Below are 18653 nucleotides of genomic sequence, written 5' to 3'. Positions count from 1 at the left end.
CAGCTGCCCCTCCCCTCTCATCTTTCCCTGCCTCTGGGCCGCAGCTCCACACCACTGCACCAGTCTCAGGTTCCCTTTTCCCTGGTACCGTCCCTGCTGGAGAATGGGTTGGCTCCACTCACAGGCCGCCTGCCTCAGGCTCCCCATCCTCAGAGGCCTCAGCCCCAACTTCTCCACAGCCTCCTCCACGTGCCTCATGTTTGGTGATGGCTTCTGGCTGACTCTGCTTTCATCCCTCCACCCCTTGTGGGGCGAGCACCCCAGGTCCTGCCTCTCTGACCTCCTGCCCCCACCCCAGGCCAGTCTTGGGACTACAGGATTTAAGAGAAACTGCCAATGTGCTGACTCCAGAAGAAAAATGCTGTCTTGTCTATTCATCCATTTCTCGTTTTTGTTTACTCTCCAAGTACATGGAACTTTCTTTGTCCTTGGCTCCTTTTGCTCTGCATTTTCCCCTTAACGCTTGGCTGTCCCTGAAAAACAACACAAAATAGACAAGAGATTGGGTGACTTTGGGGCAGGGCGAACAGCGCTGACAAGACCTCTCACTTGCCAACAGGGTCTGTCTCTGATGCCTCTCGGATCTTCTGGGGATGGTGGGGATGACAGTGAGGGCTGTGGAGCCACACCGCCCATGTCCCTTCCTTGGCCAGGTTACCTAGCCCCTCTGTGACTCACTTCTTCACCTGTACAGTGGGGATGATGGCCACACCTACCTTTTACAGGGTTTTGGGAGGGGTAAATAAGGCTATGCATGGGAAGTTTGGAAGATCGCCTGTCCCAGGAGGCAGGAATGGGCGTCCACCCCTGTGACCTCTCTCTCCAGCACTCTCGCCCCTTCAGCTGTTGCTGGTCCTAACCTCATGGTAAGGTTAGGACAAATAACCATGGCAAGGTCCCACCTGCCTGTCCTGGGCTTATTTTGGCACTGTATCTGTGCCTTTTGGTCTGTGGGCATCTTCTGGTCTTTTCTTTTCCCCCGACTATACTGCAGAGAGAGAGGAACATGGGTGAGTTCTGAGACCACAGGTTTGAATCCCAGCACCATCTCTTACTAGCTGCATGACTGTGTGACCTTGGGCAAGTTTCTCACCCTCTACCCTCTGGATCCCTCATCTGTACCCAAGACTCCGCTCCTGTCCAGGGCTGCTGTGCTGACCCCTGAGATCTGACCCCAATCACTGGTGTCCCCTTTCCTCCTTGCTCCCCCACCCCGTCTCTCTGCCCAACAGACACTGGCTGTCCTCTGCCTACACGCAATTTGCTGTGCCCTACTTCATCTACGACATCTACGCCATGTTCCTCTGTCACTGGCACAAGCACCAGGTCAAAGGGCATGGAGGGGACGACGGAGCGGCCAGAGCCCCGGGCAGCACGTGGGCCATAGCGCGTGGCTACCTGCACAAGGAGTTCCTCATGGTGCTCCACCATGCCGCCATGGTGCTGGTGTGCTTCCCACTCTCAGTGGTGAGTCCCGGGGAGCTGGGCGGGCGGGGTGCGGGTGGCCTGCTCCTTGGTCCTGCTGGTGCTGGCAGGAGCCTGGGAAGCCCCGGGTCTGCGTACTGACAACCAAGCAGACCCAGCGTATTCCCAGGGAAAGCTGTGGACAGGCAGGGTTCACTGAGCACCAGCCCAGGGCACCAGGGTGTGGGGGCAGCCTGGCCCTGGGCTGGACGATGCCCGGCTGTGGCTCTTTGGATTTGTGGTTGCACGTCTCTGAGCCTCAGTTTCCTCACCTGTTACATAAGGGACACAGTCTTTCTGCAGGACCGTGAGAGGGATGCAGCCAAGTCATGCACCTGCTCCTGCACCCAGGTGTTCTTTCTCTTTTTTTTCTTTCCAAGACGGAGTCTCTCTCTGTCACTCAGGCTGGAGTGCAGTGGTGTGATCTCGGCTCACTGAAACCTCCGCCTCCTGAGTTCAAGTGATTCTCCCATCTCAGCCTCCCCAGTAGCTGGGATTACAGGTGCCCACCAACACGCCTGGCTAATTTTTTTGGTATTTTTAGTACAGACGGGGTTTCACCATGTTGGCCAGGCTGGTCTCAAACTCCTGACCTCGTGATCCACCTGCCTCAGCCTCCCAAAGTGCTGGGATTACCGGCGTGAGCCACTGCACCCAGCCCTGCACCCAGGTGTTCTGATGTTCAGAGTCAAGCATCTCCCAAAGTGACAGAGGGGAAAGAGGAAGGGCGGGGGCTGCCCAAGAACCCAGGGAGAGCCCCAGCTCCTCACCTTCCTGCCTCTGTGCCCAGGTGTGGCGACAGGGTAAGGGAGACTTCTTTCTGGGTTGCATGTTGATGGCAGAGGTCAGCACGCCCTTCGTCTGCCTTGGCAAGATCCTCATCCAGGTGAGTGAGCATGGGAGGGTGCAGGAGCCCAATGGGGAGGTCACAGGAAGGGGAGGGACCTTCAAGGTTGCTGCCAAGGGCTCTAGCCCCTTCGTCATCCCCCCCTCACCCCGTGCATTTTGAGCACCTGGTGCTTGTGTCCTGGCAAAGTGTCTGGTTTGGGAGGAGCTGCCTGCTAGGGTCGCAGGGAGGCAGGGAGAGGGCCAAGGGGGGCCGAGCCCTTCTGCTGCCGTGGCCACTGTGTCTGTGTCTCCTCAGTACAAGCAGCAGCACACACTGCTGCACAAGGTGAACGGGGCCCTGATGCTGCTCAGCTTCCTCTGCTGCCGGGTGCTGCTCTTTCCCTACCTGTACTGGGCCTACGGGCGCCATGCCGGCCTGCCCCTGCTGGCCGTGCCCCTGGCCATCCCTGCCCACGTCAACCTGGGCGCTGCGCTGCTCCTGGCCCCTCAGCTCTACTGGTTCTTCCTCATCTGCCGTGGGGCCTGCCGCCTCTTCTGGCCCCGCTCCCGGCCGCCCCCGGCCTGCCAGGCCCAGGACTGAGGCCGGGGGCCGGGACCCTCCCCCTCCCCACCCCCACCCCCGTGGAGACAGGGCTCTGGGGCTGATGGCTGGGGTTGGGAGCCAGGGTCCTCTTGCCCGGACAACCCCAGGACTGACGATGACCCCGAAAGGGAAGAGGCCCCATCTCTCGGGGACTGAGGGGGTGGAGAGAGGGGACCTCTTCCCCCTACTCTGCCCCCTTCCTGCACACCCTTGCGCTGGAGGAGGGGAGGGGGCACCGCCTCCCACCCACTGAGGGCAGGAGGGCTTGTGGGGAGGGACACCAACAGGGTTTCAAGGGGACCAGGAGTCAGAATGTGGGGAGACGCCTCTGCCAAGGCCATCCCAGCCCCTATGCTGCCATCCCCCAGGGCTCCCCATCACCCGAGAGGAGAGGACGCCCCAACTAACCCCCGCTGGCCCTCGGGCCTCCCGAGTGGCCGGCTGCAACCACGGCTCCTCTCCAGGGTAGGCCAGCTTGAGGAATCTTATTTATTTTATTTATTTACCCAAATTTGAACTAGTCTGTTGGGTTGGGGGAAGGAGGTGGCTGCTACCCCCAAGCCTTCCCAGTGCTGACAACCCCGGGGGCAGGCGAGGGCGCCCAGTCCCTCACCATCGGCTGCACATCGCGCCCTCGGGCCCTGCCATGTCCCTGGTGCTACTGACCTCTCAAGGCTTCCTCCAATCTGGGGTCGGGGGACCCTGGGAGGTGCTTTACAGACCGCTAATAAAAGACGATCTGCGTGAACGCCACCAAGGCCCTTGCCACCAAGTTCTTTGGGGCTGGGAAGGGAGGAGGTGGGGGGCTTGGGCCATGGGAAACAGAGGGGACAGGATCCCCAGCTGCTCGCTGGGCAGTCAGGGAGGAGGAAAGCAGGGAACTTTTGCTCATCAACAGGAGAGGAGGTGGGTGTGGGTGCTCAGGTTGAGTCCAGAGCCCTTGTCCGGCTCTTTAGGCCCCTTTCTGGAAGTTTCTGTGGGGCATGGAGATCAGAGGGGAGAGGTCACAGCCTGCCCCGCTAGAACTGGGGTCTTCAGCCGCTCCCAAGGAAGGTGGTGGTGGGTGGGGTTGGAGAAAGGGGGCAGGCCTTACATGTGGGTGCAGAACTGGAAAAGGAGAAAGAAGAACGCCACCACCAGCAAGCCCACCAGGATGTGATGGAAGAGCCCGGGGCTGGAACCTGCTAGACAAACAGGACCCTTAACTCCCCTCTGATGGCCCAATGAAGGGTCTGGGGCTGCTCTCCTCCAGACCCTGGCGGGGAGGGAGGTCCCTTCTCAAGCTGGTTCATACCTGAGTTAATGAACACGATGGGTTTCTCTCCAATAAACTGGGCCACAGCCAGCAGCCTGGCTTGGTCTGAGTCCGGATAATCGAAGAAGTCAGGTCTGTCTAAGAAGCGCGGAGACTCTGTCCCCAGGGCTGACGCCGTGGCACGCTTGGGTCTGGGTGCTAGGACCCAAGCAAACTCTGTGACAACAGCCAAGCTGACCCCTGCCTTTATCTCTCGAGGCGGAAGCTGACTTGGGACCCTGTGAGACCACCCAGCCTTATTGCAGAGGCTGTGGAGGGTCTTGATTTCCCTCAGGGTCAGCTGGGTGCACCACGACAAGGCTCGCGGTTGTTGGGGGGTAGGTGGGACCAGCAGGATGGGAGAGAAGAGTGGAGAGAAAATGAGAGGGTGCAGGGTTGGCTTCCGAGTCCCTAAGTGGGCATCACACTTTATGCTCCCAGAGCTGCCTGCCTTCCTGCTGCTCCCAAGACAGCTTCTTACCAGTTTCTATGGCCCCTAGTGCAGCCAGCCACACCCACACCAGCACCCATGGCCACAGCCTCATGACTCCTATCATGAGGTGGGGGCTCTGTGATGTCACAGCCCAGAGCTGTTCTGATGGCACTTTGGGGTGAGGGGAGAAAGTGCTAGGAGCTGGGACCCCTCCCCCATCCCTCACTCTCATCAGAAGAGGAGAGGAGAAGAGAGGTTGGGACCAGTCTTCACCCCCTGGAATGTCGCTGATGATAAAACCATAATGGTGGCAGCCCCAGCATTTACAAAGAGGAGGGATGCGGCACGGCCATCTTGCTGAAAGCCCGAACTAAAGGAAGCTGTGTTTGGACAACAGGCACAATTTGGGGTGGTGGCACAGGGCCACACACCTCCGGTTACCCCTTGGATCAACCACAGGTAACATTTGTTTTATTTATTTTCATTTTTTTGGAGACAGGGTCTCTGTCTGTCACCCAGGTGGGAATGCAGTGGCGCCATCTTGGCTCTCTACAGCCTCTGCCTCCTGGGTTCAAGTGATTCTCTTGCCTCAGCCTCCTGAGTATCTGGGATTACAGCTTTGGATAAATCCCTTCCTTTTATCTGTCTGCCACCACACCCGGCTAATTTTTGTATTTTTAGTAGAGACAGGGTTTCACTATGTTGGTCAGGCTGGTCTTGAACTCCTCACCTCAGGTGATCTGTTCGCCTCGGCCTCCCAAAGCGCCCGGCCTATTTTATGTATTTTCAGAGACAGGGTCTCACTCTGTCACCCAGGCTGGAGTACAGTGGTATGATTACTGCAGCCTTGAACTCCTGGCCTCAAGTGATCCTCCCACATCAGCCTCCTGAGTAGCTGGGACCACAGGCATGTGCCACCATGCCCGGCTAATTTTTGCATTTTTTGTAGAAATGAGGGCTTGCTATGTTGCCCAGGCTGGTTTCGAACTTCTGGCCTCAGGTGATCCTCCAGCTTCGGCCTCCCAAAGTGCTGGGATTACAGGCATGAGCCACCATGCCCAGCAGGTAGCATTTATTGAACACCTATTACTATGCTGGCTGGACCCCATTTATGGCCAAGTACCTTGCACAAATTTGTTCATTTGCTCTTGCACTGACCCTCAGAGGCAGGTACTCTTTTTTTTTTTTTTTTTTTTTTTTTTTTTTGAGATGGAGTTTCACTCTGTCCGCCAGGCTGGAGTGCAGACGCACAATCTCAGCTCACTGCAACCTCCACCTCCTGGGTTCAAGCGATTCTCCTGCCTCAGCCTCCTGGAGTGGGATTACAGGCGCGCACCATCACTGTTCGGCTGATTTTTGTACTTTTAGTAGAGATGGGGTTTCACCATGTTGGCCAGGCTGGTCTTGAACTCCTGAACTCGGATGATCCGCCTGCCTCGGCCTCCCAAAGTGTTGGGATTACAGGCGTGAGCCACCAAGCCCAGCCCAGAGGCAGGTACTCTTGCCTCCCTTATACACGGGAGGAAATCACGGCACAGAGGGGAAAAGTAGTGTGGGCAATGCACACTTCCTGGGGGGGGGGTTCCTCTCTGAGGCTCCCCCTTGCATCCTATCCGCAGATCCAGGGGCACAGGGCTCTCTCCGTCCTCCCCCGCCCCCTCCTTAGTGCTCAGCCGGGAACGACCCTGGGGTTAGGAACCGAGAGGAGTAGCAGGCGTCTCCCACTAGGTGGCAGCAGCGGCCGCGCCTGAGTCCACGCTCCCACCCTAGGAAAGGCGCAGCGGGGCGGACTCCCGGGCCTCCTCCCGCCTCTTCCACAGGTTGCATCCGCGGCTGCAGGAAAACGGATGGCTGGGAATGGCCGTCGGGGGTTGGTCAGAGGAAGTCCCTCGGCCCTTTCCGAGGCACATCTCTTGGCCATCCACGCGTCCTTCGCAGACTCCGCTCCCTGCACCTCCGTTTCCTCTTCTGTGGCCGGCGGCTCCCCCGTGGCCACCCCATCTCCCATCTCTGCCACCTCCCAACAGCCATTTCCACTCCTGCGGCCCCATCCCAGCTAAGGAGAGCGCCCTTCTGATTGGCAGGTGGGCCTGTCTGTCACGGGCATGTTCCATCCCACCCAAGCCCAAGGACACTCCAGGGTTTCCTTAGTTTCACAACGAAGGTGCGTGCTCAGCGGACTCTGCAGACCCAGTGCCGCGACTTCCCCTAAAGCCAGGCGTGTATCTGCGCGTGTGAGGTGCTCTGCCGCAACCCTATGCAGAGAGCAGGTGGGCTAGGACTCGGGGTACTTGCCATGAACCGCTTCGAGTTCCTAAACAAGTAAAAAGCCCAGAGAGAGAAAAAAAGGGGGCAGCGGGGCGGGGGTGGGGAAGGAGGGAAACGAATATCTATGGGACTGGCTCACGTGGGCTGCTTCCCCTGTGCTGCGCTGATGGCTTCCCTTTTTTTGAGACAGGATATTGCTCTATCTGTCACCCAGGCTGGAGTGCAGCCTCGACCTCCTGGGCTCAAGCGATCCTCTCACCTCAGCCTCCCAAGTAGCTGGGACCACAGGCGTGCACCACCACACCTGCCTATTTTTTGTTTTGTTTTGTTTTGTTTTTTAGATGGAGTCTCTGTCTGTTGCCCAGGCTGGAGTGCAGTGGCACGATCTTGGCTCACTGCAACCTCTGCCTCCTTGGTTCAAGCGATTCTCCTGCCTCAGCCTCCCGAGTAGCCAGGATCAAAAGCATATGCCACCATGCCTGGCTAATTTTTGTAGTTTTTTAAAGTAGAGACGGAATTTCATCATGTTGGCCAGTCTGGTCTCAAACTCCTGACCTCAAGTGATCTGCCCTCCGCGGCCTCCTAAAGTGCTGGGATTACAGGCGTGTGCGACTGCGCCCAGCCTACTTCTTTTTTTCTTTGCAGAGATGGAGTCTTGCTATGTTGCCCAGGCTGGTCTCAAACTCCTGGGCATAAGTGATTCTCCCACCCTGGCCTCCCAAAATGCTGGGATGACAGGTGTGAGCCGCCATGCAGATCACTTCTAAGAAAAAGGAAGGGATTTATCCAAAGCCACAAGGCATGTGAGAGGCAGCAGAAGGGACTCAGTAATGTGGTTTTTGGGCCAGGCGCGGTGCTCACACCTATGATCCCAGCACTTTGGGAGGCCAAGATGGGTGGATCACTTGAGGCCAGGAGTTCGAGACCAGCCTGCCCAACATGATGAAATCTCCTCTCTACTAAAAATCCAAAAAAAGGCTGGGCGCGGTGGCTCACACCTATAATCCCAGCACTTTGGGAGGCCGAGGCAAGTGGATCACCTGAGGTCAGGAGTTCAAGACCAGCCTGACCAATATGGTGAAACCACGTCTCTACTAAAAATACAAAAATAAGCCGGGTGCGGTAGCATGCGCCTGTAGCCCCAGCTACTCGGGAGGCTGAGACAGGAGAACTGCTTGAACACAAGAGGCAGAGGTTGCGGTGAGCCTAAATTGCGCCACTGCACTCCAGCCTGGGTGACAGGGTGAAATTTCATCTCAAAAAGAAAAAGAAAAAAAAAAAGATTAACTAGGCATGGTGGTACGTGCCTATAGTCCCAGCTACTCAGGAATCTGAGGCAGGAGAATCACTTGAGCCCGGTAGGTGGAGGTTGCAGTGAGCCAAGATCGCACCACTGCACTCCAGCCTGGGTGACACTCGAGACTCTGTCTCAATAAATAAATAACCTGGTTCCCGACGCTGGGCCAGGGCTCGTGCCCCAGGCCCACAGGCAACTGCTCCTTGAGGTTAGCTGGGAGAAGGGACACAGAACCTATGGCCTTTGGGGTTGACTTTCTTTTGTTTCCTCAAATGCTTCAAAAACATTAAGCTATCTCTACTAGTAAAGGCCATTTTGACCCAAACAATGCATTATCCATTCACCCATTTATTCATCCATGACATAAACGTGCTGAGCTCCTGCTACGCACTGGCTGGACTCCATTTATGACTCAGAAATCACCACGGCACGGTCCCTGACCTCAAGAATGACAAGGGAGAGAACTCATAGATGCGCATCATTCTAGAGTAGACGGGCAACTCTGGGTCATCTACACCTGCTGTCTCCACTCCCTCATCTTTAATGGACTCTTCAATCTCTTCTTTTTCTGAGATGGAGTCTCATTCAGTCACCCAGGCTGGAGTGCAGTGGCGCGATCTCGGCTCACCGCAACCTCTGCCTCCCGGGTTCAAACGATTCTCCCACTTCGGCCTCCTGAGTAACTGGGATTACAGGCACCCACCACCACACCCAGCTAATTTTTTAATTTTTAGTAGAGATGGGGTTTCACCACGTTGGCCAAGCTGGTCTCAAACTCCTGACCTCAGGTGATCTGCCTGCCTCTGCCTCCCAAAGTGCTGGGATTACAGGCATGAGTCACCTCGCCCAGCCAATTCTTCAACCTCTTCTAATCTGGCTTAGTCCCCACCAATCCACTGAAGCTGCTTTGATCAAGTCCACAAAAGAGCTCATAATCTGCCAAATCAAATGGTTCTCTCTCTTTCCATTCCGTCTGCCTCCCAGCAGGTGCACCTGTCCCTGACTCAGAGCCCTGGAACCACACTCACCAGTTCTCAGGACTCCTTCTCCAGCCAACTCAGCATGGGGCCTTGTCTTGCTATCTATATTCTCTGCCTAGGTGATCTCATCCATACTCGTGGCTTTAAATACCATCTATATGCCAGTGACTCACAAATGTATATTTCCAGCCCAGACCTCTCCTTGGAGCTCCAGACTCCGAGATGTCTGTTTGTGATGTCCAAATACATCTCCAAGGCAATGGATCACAAATGGAGTCCTACTCCAGACCTGCTCTGCTCCCATCTTTTCGTCTCAGTGGATGGTCCCATCATTCCTCTAGATGGTCTGCTCAACACAGAAACCTAGGAATCATCCTGCTTCCTTATCTCTCACCTAATGAACCCCAAATTGAGACCTGTTAGGCCAGGTTCGGGGGCTCATGCCTGTAATCCGAGAAATTTGGGAAGCCGAGGTGGGAGGATCACTGGAGGCCAGGAGTTCAAGGTTGAAGTGAGCCATGATCGTGCTGCTACACTCCAAGCTGGGTGACAGAGAATCCCATCTGTAAAAGATAAGAATAAAAAGATCTGTTGGTTCAATTTTCTTTCTTTCTTTTTTTTTTTTTTTGAGACAGCATCTCACTCTGTTGCCCAGGCTGGAGTGCAGTGGTGCAATCATAGCTCACTGCAGCATCGACCTCCCAGGCTCAAGCAATCCTCTCTCCTCAGCCTCCCAAGTAGCTGGGACTGCATCATCAAGTCATCATGCCCAGCTAAGTTTTTTTTTTTTTTTTTTTTTTTTTTGGTAGAAATAGGATTTCACTATGTTGCCCAGGCTGGTCTTGAACTCCGGGGCTCAAGGGATCCTCCTGCCTTGGCCTCCCAAAGTGCTGGGATTACAGCGCCCAGCCTCAATTTTCTTTTCTTTCTTTTTTTTTTTTTTTTCCGGAGACAGAGTCCCACTCTGTTGCCCAGGCTGGAGTGCAGTGGCACGATCTCAGCTCATTGCAACCTCCACCTCCCAGGTTCAAGTGATTCTTGTGCCTCAGCCTCCTGAGTAGCTGGGATTACAGACGCATGCCACCAAGCCCACTTAATTATTTTTGTATTTTTAGTAGAGATGGGGTTTCGCCATGTTGGCCAGGCTGGTCTCAAACTCCTGGCCTCAAGCAATCCGCCCACCTTGGCCTCCCAAAGTGCTGGGATTACAGGCATGAGCCACCGCACCCGGCAATAGGTAGTTTTTCGACTCTTTCCCTCCCTCCCCTTTTTTGGAGTCCCCAGTGTCTGTTATTCTCATCTTTATGTCCATAGGTACCCAATGTTTAGCTCCCACTTACGAGAACATGTGGTATTTGATTTTCTGTTTCCGCATTAATTCAGTTAGGATAATGGCCTCCAGCTGCATCCATGTTGCTGCAAGGGATATAATTTCATTCTTTTTTATGGCTGCATAGTATTCCATGGCATATACATATCACATTTTCTTTATCCAGTCCACTGTTGGTGGGCACCTAGATTGATTCTGTGTCTTTCCTATTGTGAACAGTGCTGCAATAAACACACAAGTGCAGGTGTCTTTTTGGTGGAATGATTTCTTTCTTTCTTTTTCTCTTTTTTTTTTTTTTTGAGACAGGGTCTCACTCTGTCACTCAGGCTGGAGTACAGTGGCTTGATCTTGGCTCACTGCAGCCTCAAACTCCTGGGCTCAAGCGATCATCCTGCCTCAGCCTCCCGAGTAGCTGGGACTACAAGTGCACACCACCACTCCTGGCTAATTTTTTTTTTTAGACAGGGTTTCGTCATGTTGACCAGGCTGGTAGAATGATTTCTTTTCTGAATATGCCGTACTCTGGACTGCCTCCCAGCTTTGGCACACACCTCTGCCTAGAATACACTTGCCCCCAAGCTTGACCTGGGTAACTCCTCCTCATCTTTCAGGTCTCAGTTGAGACAACTCCTTTTCTGGGAAGTGAGGTGTTAATCTTTGTTCCCTCCTACCTCATAGGACCCTGAGTTCCCATGGCTTCTGACCATCCCCTGTCCCCACGTCAGTTTCCCTGGATGGGGATTGTCTGTGTATTTGTCTGTCTTCCCTATGAGGCTGTGAAGTCACAGCTCATTGACCTTGGGCCTGGTTGTATCCCCACAATCTATAGTCGATATTCAGTCAATATTTACTGAATGACTGGGTGACTGGTGCAAAAGCCTCCCGTCTCTGGACAAAGCAGGGCTCAGCACTGTCCATCATTTTCCTCTGAAATTGGCTTGAACTCCAGCCTCATCCTTACCTGTCTTCAACAAGTTCTTCTGGAGGCAGGCAGGGCTGGGGTTGAGCAAGCACCGTGGGAAGAGAGCACAGGAGAGAGGACTCGACAGGTTCCTTGACCAGAGTGTCCCCCTCCCCTCACTGCAGGCCCCCTGCGCCCAGGTCATGGACACCCTCTTGCTAAACTCACCGGCTTTCACACTGCACTGTGTCTCCCTTCGTCCTGCTTCCTTTCTTATTCTGGAGAGCCACGAAGGAAACCTAACGGTTGCCTTTACTTTAGAAATATTGGCCGGGTGCAGTGGCTCATGCCTGTAATCCCAGCACTTTGGGAGGCCAAGGCAGGCAGATCACTTGAGGTCAGGAGTTCGAGACCAGCCTGGCCAACATGGTGAAACCCTATCTCCACTAAAAATACAACAATTAGCCAGGCATGGTGGTGTGCACCTGTAATCCCAGCTACTTGGGAGGCTGAGGCTTGAACCTGGGAGGTGGAGGTTGCAGTGAGCCAAGATCGTGCCACTGCATTCCAGCCTGGGCAACAGAGCGAGACTCTGTCTAAAAAAAAAAAAAAAAAAAAAAATATATATATATATATATATATATATATATATATATTATTGTGCTGGGCATGGTCTTTGGCTCACACCTGTAATCCCAGCACTTTGGGAGGCCAAGGTAGGAGGATGGCTTGAGGCCAGGAGTTTGAAACCAGCCTGGGCACCATAGTAAGACCCATCTCTACAAAACAAACAAACAAACAAAAACAGATTAGCCAGGCATGGTGGTGCATACCTATAGTCCCAGCTACATGGGAGGCTAAAGTGGGAGGATCGCCTGAGCCCAAGAGTTCGAGGATGTCGTGAGCTATGATCTTGCCACTGCACTCCAGCCTAGGCAACACAGTGAGACCCTGTCTCAAAAAAAAAAAAAAAAAGAAAAAGGAAGGAAAGAAGGAAGGAAGAAAGGAAGGAAGGAAGGAAGGAAAGAAGAAAAGAAAGAAAAAGACAAGACCAAAATTTGGCCAGGCACAGTGGCTCATGCCTGTAATCTCAGCACTTTGGGAGGCCGAGGCAGGCGGATCACCTGAGGTCAGGAGTTCAAGATCAGCCTGGCCAACATGGTGAAAACCCATCTCTACAAAAATACAAAAAAATTAGCCGAGCATGATGGCGGGTGCCTGTAATCCCAGCTACTCAGGAGTGTGACGCGGGAGAATCACTTGAACCCGAGAGGCGGAGGTTGCGGTGAGCCGCGATCGAGCAATTGCACTCTAGCCTGGGTGACAGAGCGAGACTCCATCTCAAAAACAAACAAACAAACAAACAAACAAAGAAATACCAAAATTTATTATTTTAATGTATTCTTTGGAACAGGTAACCTATGCATGTGGCACAAAATTCAAAAAATACAAAAGGATGTACGTTGAAAAGTAAGTCTTTCCTCTTCCTGCCCTGTCTCCCCAGAGGTCACCATAGTTATATTTTCTTCTGTGTATTTATTATTTTTTTATTATTATTTTTATTTTTTCACTCTCTCAGCTTGTCAAGAGACACAGTTACCATTCTTGTGCAGGCCTCCAGAAACAACATATGAACAACTAAGCAAACACGGCTAAGCTCTTTCCCTCTCAAATGGCAGTATTCCAAGCATGCTTCTCTGCACTTGCTTTTCTTTTTTGATTTTTTTTTCTTTTTTCTTTTTCTTCTGAGATGGAGTCTTGTTCTGTTGCCCAGGCTGGAGTGCAGTGGCATGATCTCGGCTCACTGCAACCTCCGCCTCCCAGGTTCAAGCAATTCTCCTGCCTCAGCCTCCCAAGATTACAGGTGCCCGCCAACATGCCCAGCTAATTTTTGTAATTTTAATAGAGACAGCGTTTCAGCATGTTGGCTAGGCTGATCTTGAACTCCTGACCTCGTGATCCTCCCGCCTCGGCCTCCCAAATTGCGGGGATTACAGGTGTAAGCCACCATGCCCAGCCTGCACTTTGCTTTTTTTTTCTTTGAGATGGAGTCTCGTTCTGTCGCCCAGGCTGGAGTGCAGTGGCGCAATCTCGGCTCACTGCAAGCTCTACCTCCTGGGTTCATGCCATTCTCCTGCCTCAGCCTCCCAAGCAGCTGGGACTACAGTTGCCCGCCTCCACGCCCAGCTAATTTTTTGTATTTTTAGTAGAGATGGGGTTTCACCGTGTTAGACAAGATGGTCTCGATCTCCTGACCTCGTGATCCACCCGCCTTGGCCTCCCAAAATGCTGGGATTACAGGCGTGAGCCATGGCGCCTGGCCTGCACTTGGCTTTTCTAAGTTAAAATGAAACTGTGAAATGATTCTAGGGCCAGGCACAGTGGCGCACGCCTGTAATCCCAGGACTTTGGGAGGCCGAAGCGGGAGGATTGCTTGAGTCCAGGAATTTGAGACCAGCTTGGGCAAAGTAGTGAGACCTTGTATATTTAAAAAAAAAAAAAAAGATGATTCTAAACAAGAGCAAAACAGCCTCTTGTGGCTGCACCCTATTTCACTGCATGGAATTACATCATGACTGATTTAACTGGTCCCCTGCTTCTGGGTATCTCAGTTGTTTCCAGTCTTTTGGAACGTGCTACATTTAAGAATTTTGAACTTCATGGCCAGGCGCGGTGGCTCACAGCTGTAATCCCAGCACTTTGGGAGACCGAAGCAGGCGGATCATGAGGTCAGGAGTTCAAGACCAGCGGGGCTAAGATGGTGAAACACCGTCTCTACTAAAAATACAAAAACTTAGCCAAGTGTGGGGCGTGCGCCCCTGTAATCCCAGCTACTTGGGAGGCTGAGGCAGGAGAATTGCTTGAACCCAGGAGGCAGAGGTTGCGGTGAGCCAAGATCGCACCATTGCACTCCAGCCTGGGCAACAAGAGTGAAAGTCTGTCTCAAAAAAAAAAAAAGAAAAAAAGAATTTGAACTTCTATTATTTGGCTTATGGGTTGGCATATCTGTAAGATAAAATCCTAAAAGTGGAATTTCTGGGTCTAAGGATTTTTTTTTTTTTTTTTTTTTTTTGAGACAGGGTCTCACTCTGTTACCCAGGCTGGAGTGCAGTGGAGTGATTATAGCTTACTGCAGCCTTGACCTTCTGGGCTCAAGAGATCCTCCCACCATCACGAGGTCAGGAGATCGAGACCATCTTGGCTAAGAAGGTGAAACCCCATCTCTATTAAAAATACAAAAAAATTAGTCAGGCGTGGAGGCGGGCACCTGTAGTCCCAGCTACCCGGGAGGCTGAGGCAGGAGAATGGCATGAACCTGGGAGGTGGAGCTTGCAGTGAGCCGAGATCACGCCACTGCACTCCAGCCTGGGCGACAGAGCGAGACTCCATCTCAAAAAAAAAAAAAAGAAAAGAAAAAAAAAGAAGAGAGATCCTCCCACCTCAGCCTCTTGAGTAGCTGGGACCACAGGCACACACCACTATGCCTGGATTTTTTTTTTTTTTTTTTTTTTTTTTTTGTAGAGACAGGGCCTCACCATGTTGCCCAGGCTGGTCTTGAACTTCTGAGCTCAAGGGATCAGTCCGTCTCAGCTTCCCCCCAGCCCAGACACTTTGGCTTTGCCCATTTTATGGGTAATAAGTGATATCTCAGGGTTTTTTGTTTGTTTGTTTGTTTGTTTGTTTTGAGACTGAGTTTTGCTCTTACAGCCCAGGCTGGAGTGCAGTGGCACGATCTCAGCTCACTGCAACCTCCGCCTCCCGGGTTCAAGCGATCCTCCTGCCTCAGCCTCCCAAGACACATACCACCACGCCCGGCATTTTTAGCAGAGATGGGGTTTCACCATGTTGGCCAGGCTAGTCTCAAACTCCTGACCTCAGGTGATCCACCCACCTCGGCCTCCCAAAGCGCTGGGATTACAGGCGTGAGCCACTGCGCCCCGCCCCCTCAGTGTTGTTGACTTTACATTTCTCTTACTTTTTTTTTTTTTTTTTTTTAAGAGACTGTGTCTCACTGTGTTGCCCAGGCTGGCTTCACTCAAGCGATCCTCTCGCCGCAGTCCCTGGAGTAGCTAGGATTACAGGCACCCGCCACCACTCTCGGCCCCATTTCTCTTATTTAAAAAAAAAAAAATTGCCGTGAAATACGCATATCGAAATGTACCATCTTCACCATTTTTAAGGGTAAGATTAGGTGGTGTTAGGTATGTTCAGTTGTCGTGCAACCAGATTGCTGTTTTAAATAACAGCACTTAGAGATGCCGACTTCGTGCCAGGCCCAGTTTGGGACATTAGGGACTCCCAGATGAATCAGCCGCTCCAGTGGAACTCCCTGCTGGTGGGGGAGGCACTGGCGAAGCGGTGCTGAGCCGAGTCCTGACGGCGCTGGAGCTGAGGGGCAGTGCGGGATGCCCCAGGAAGGCTCCTAGGAAGAGGGGACCCACGGTGACTTCCTAAGGAAGCGCGGTTCCCAGGTAGAGGAGCGCATGTGAGCCAAGATCCCTAGGCCTGAGCCGTCTAGGTGTGTCCCAGGAACTGCAGGAAACGGTTGGGTGAGTCAGTGGTGGGCAGCGAGGGTGATAAGCCCCTTCGTGTCTTCGGGATGGTAAGTTTGGGGCACAGGTGAGTGAAGACCGAAGGCCAGGGGTGGACTGACACTCCGTGGCAGGCGCAGGGCCGGGCAGGGGGGCGGCTTGGGGGTGGCAAGGTTTGGGTGAGAAATGGCAGCCCATGGGGAACTACCGCAGGGCTCTGAGACCTTCAGAGCCAAGCCCCGACGCCCCTTCCCACCTGCGGGGCAGAACTGGGGATGGCAGGGGGGAGGGTGGTTCCCAAAGGAGATACCATCCCTGGTAAGGGGACATGGGCCCCTGGGAGTTGGGTTGGGCCACAAGGAGAGAGGCCTGAACGGCCAAAGGGAGGGGGCGTGGGGGAAGCCGCAGCATCAGACCTCTGCCTCCTCCCTCAGATCGTGAGGCTCCCCAGCCTGGCTCGGGAGACCCCGAGATCCCCGGCCGGTGACAGCAGGCGACCCCCTGCTCCTGTCAACCTGTGGGTCCCTACGGACGTGGGGAAGGGAGGAGGGAGGCCCCAGCTCCCTGCGGGGGAGGGGCGTGAAGACGCGCGGGGGTGGGGGGAGATGAGCCGGCGTCGCCATGACAACGAGGCCGGTGGTCCGGCCTTGGGGACCCGGGAGGGAGGGAGGCGCCGTGGCCGCGCGCGCGGGCGGGGGCGGGGGGCCAGGTCTCCCAGGAGTAGTTGGGGAACACCCGGCGATTCTGGCGGCTGCTTCCTGGTGGCGCAGGGAGCCCGCGTGTTTGCGAGTGCGTGTGTGTGCGAAGTTCTCCGGGTAAGTGTGCCAGCGCGCGCCTGGGTGTGTGCAAGGGTGTGAGCGTGCACACGTGGGCACGGGCGTGTGCGCGCGGGGGTGCCCGGTTGGATGTGTGCACACGAGTGTGTGCCGGTCCGCGTGCCCCTGCGTGAGTGTGCGCGCGCGAGCACACGTGTGTGTGCGCGCTCGCGTGCGCTCCCGAGCGGGCCCCGGGTGGGAGTCCGAGATCCCGCCCCCTCCCCAGCCCCAGCGCCCCTCCCCGTCCCCCGCCGCCGCGCCGGCTGCATCCTCGCCTCCACCTCGCTCACCCCCTCCTCCCCGCACTTTCTCGGCGCTCCCTCCCTCTCGGCTCGCACAGCTCGACTCCGCGCTCTCCTCGCCGGCCGCCGCCGCCCAGCCTGCGCCCGCCGTCCCCCCAGTGCCTGGGCACCTGTTGGAGGCAGAGGCAGGTGCAGGGGGCTGGGCAGGCCGGGGGCGTGAGGGTGCGGGGAAGCGTGCCAGCCTGTGTGCGCTACGGGGGTGTTCGGCTCTCCTGCGGCTGCAATTTCTGGCTCCCCTGAGGAGCCAGAGGTGGCATCTGAGGCTGGGGTCTCCACCGTGGGCTGTGGTGAGCGAGCGGGGGAACCAGGCAGGCAGACAGGTCCTGGGGCTGAATGAGGGGACAGTGGGCAGTTGGAGCCTAGAGGGGTGGGTGACACCCTGACTAGACCAGCGCCTGGTGCAGAGGAGGACAGAGCCTCCGAGAAACAGAGGCGGGGCCCTGCAGGGCCCCTTGGGGGACAGGCAGGCTCAGGAGCAGAGGGGAGCCCCGGAGGAGAGGAAGGAGCTGGCAAGATGATACAGGGACAACCTAGAAGTGGGTGGGTGAGGACGGGGTGGTGCAACCTCGACTTCTGCAAGGAGTGGGTTGGCAGCCCAGCCCCTGTGGAGTCAGCTTGGGGTCTGCAGGGCCCAGGCCTCCCACCTGCCACCGGCTGGCACACACCACCCTCTCCCTCGACACCTAGGAAGGGAGGCCAGTGAGGGCCCCACAGACCGAGGAGGCCGTCGCCTGGCCCTCAGCCAGGATGGCTAGGTATGATGGGCTCACTGGCTCACACGCCCTCTCCTAGCCAGGGGTGCTGCATGAGGGGCCGCAGGGGCGATCGCATGACCATCAACATCCAGGAGCACATGGCCATCAACGTGTGCCCCGGGCCCATCCGGCCCATCCGCCAGATCTCTGACTACTTCCCCCGGGGACCAGGACCTGAAGGGGGCGGCGGGGGCGGCGGGGAGGCCCCCGCCCATCTGGTCCCCCTGGCTCTGGCCCCCCCTGCAGCCCTCCTTGGGGCCACCACGCCTGAGGATGGTGCGGAGGTGGACAGCTATGACTCGGATGATGCCAGTGAGTCTGGGGGCTTGGAGGCCCCATGTGCTGGTGGGGGTCTCCAGGCTTGCCGTGGTGGGGGGAGAGGGGGATGGGCCCTGCTGGCTGTGCATGTAGGTAGGGGAGGAGGGCAGTGGGGGGGTGGCAGGGACGGCCACCACAGCTGCAGTCAGCGTGGAGATTACAGCTTCAGCAAGGCTCAATATTCAGTATTTCTGCTGAGACACTCCACCACCCACACAGCCCCAGTTGCGGCCGAGCCAGGGACCCAGACGCACACACGCATGGGCCCACTCAGCCTCTTGCACTCACACTCGCGGGCTGGCAAGAGAGAGAGACACACAGAGCCAGTGCCCACCTGCTGGCCTCTCGCACACACCTGTCTCCATACCGACCCATGCTGCCTTTCCTCTCTCTCCAGCCGCCCTAGGCACGCTGGAGTTTGACCTTCTCTACGACCGGGCCTCCTGCACTCTGCACTGTAGCATCCTCAGGGCCAAGGTGGGCACTCCCTGCCACCCAAGCCCGGGCCCGGTTTGCGTGCAGCCCCCAGAGG

At 55.4% G+C, this 18653-nt stretch overlaps 3 protein-coding genes across 32 annotated transcripts in view, besides 1 other annotated feature; 2 read left to right on the top strand and 1 right to left on the bottom strand.

Moving 5' to 3' along the window:
* The window catches only part of TLCD3B (TLC domain containing 3B), a 28614-nt gene extending 24965 nt beyond the window's left edge, over positions 1-3649 (top strand). For all 12 annotated transcript variants that reach the window (XM_047434736.1, XM_005255614.4, XM_017023752.2 and 9 more), the window contains 3 exons: positions 1233-1467; positions 2255-2350; positions 2609-3649. In XM_047434736.1, coding sequence (XP_047290692.1) covers positions 1233-1467; positions 2255-2350; positions 2609-2893 — 616 coding nt within the window. In that variant the 3' untranslated portion in view covers positions 2894-3649. The remainder of the gene's footprint in view (positions 1-1232; positions 1468-2254; positions 2351-2608) is intronic.
* C16orf92 (chromosome 16 open reading frame 92) lies at positions 340-4878 on the bottom strand. Of its 8 annotated transcripts, none has more exons than NM_001353379.2 (5): positions 4672-4878; positions 4191-4349; positions 3990-4077; positions 907-988; positions 340-473 (listed from the first exon to the last, which is right to left on the bottom strand). In NM_001353379.2, the coding sequence occupies exons 1-5, from the start codon at positions 4733-4735 to the stop codon at positions 396-398; spliced, it is 471 nt and encodes a 156-aa protein (NP_001340308.1). In that variant the 5' UTR covers positions 4736-4878; the 3' UTR covers positions 340-395. The 8 variants fall into 8 exon arrangements, 4 of the variants coding, with proteins under 4 accessions (NP_001340308.1, XP_024305930.1, NP_001103130.1 ...); XR_002957776.2 differs by lacking the exon at positions 340-473 and adding an exon at positions 1399-1600 and having other exon boundaries at positions 890-988; positions 3990-4080; positions 4191-4429; XR_002957777.2 differs by lacking the exon at positions 340-473 and adding an exon at positions 1399-1600 and having other exon boundaries at positions 890-988; positions 4191-4429.
* The window catches only part of DOC2A (double C2 domain alpha), a 17715-nt gene continuing 3909 nt past the window's right edge, over positions 4848-18653 (top strand). For 2 of the 12 annotated variants that reach the window (NR_104089.2, NR_104090.2), the window contains exons 1-3: positions 17049-17173; positions 18050-18115; positions 18519-18598. Coding sequence is in view for 10 of the 12 variants with exons in the window: in XM_047434803.1 (XP_047290759.1) it covers positions 17854-18115; positions 18519-18598 (342 nt within the window). In the remaining 2 variants the exon portion in view is untranslated. Of the gene's footprint in view, positions 5083-6772; positions 6894-12813; positions 12870-14479; positions 14610-15433; positions 15582-15746; positions 16003-16653; positions 16747-17048; positions 17174-17840; positions 18116-18518; positions 18599-18653 lie in introns of those variants that run through there. The other 10 variants (XM_047434803.1, XM_047434802.1, XM_047434805.1 and 7 more) reach the window with 10 other exon arrangements.
* Positions 17083-17142: a silencer, noted in NCBI's record as "silent region_7347". NCBI's record gives its function as "represses an Ori minimal core promoter by ATAC-STARR-seq in GM12878 lymphoblastoid cells {active_cell/tissue: GM12878}" and the evidence as "EXISTENCE:reporter gene assay evidence [ECO:0000049][PMID:35858748]".

This window comes from Homo sapiens, chromosome 16 (assembly GCF_000001405.40).
Source record: "Homo sapiens chromosome 16, GRCh38.p14 Primary Assembly".
Classification (NCBI taxonomy): domain Eukaryota; kingdom Metazoa; phylum Chordata; class Mammalia; order Primates; family Hominidae; genus Homo; species Homo sapiens.
This window is presented reverse-complemented; position numbering and strand designations above follow the sequence as displayed.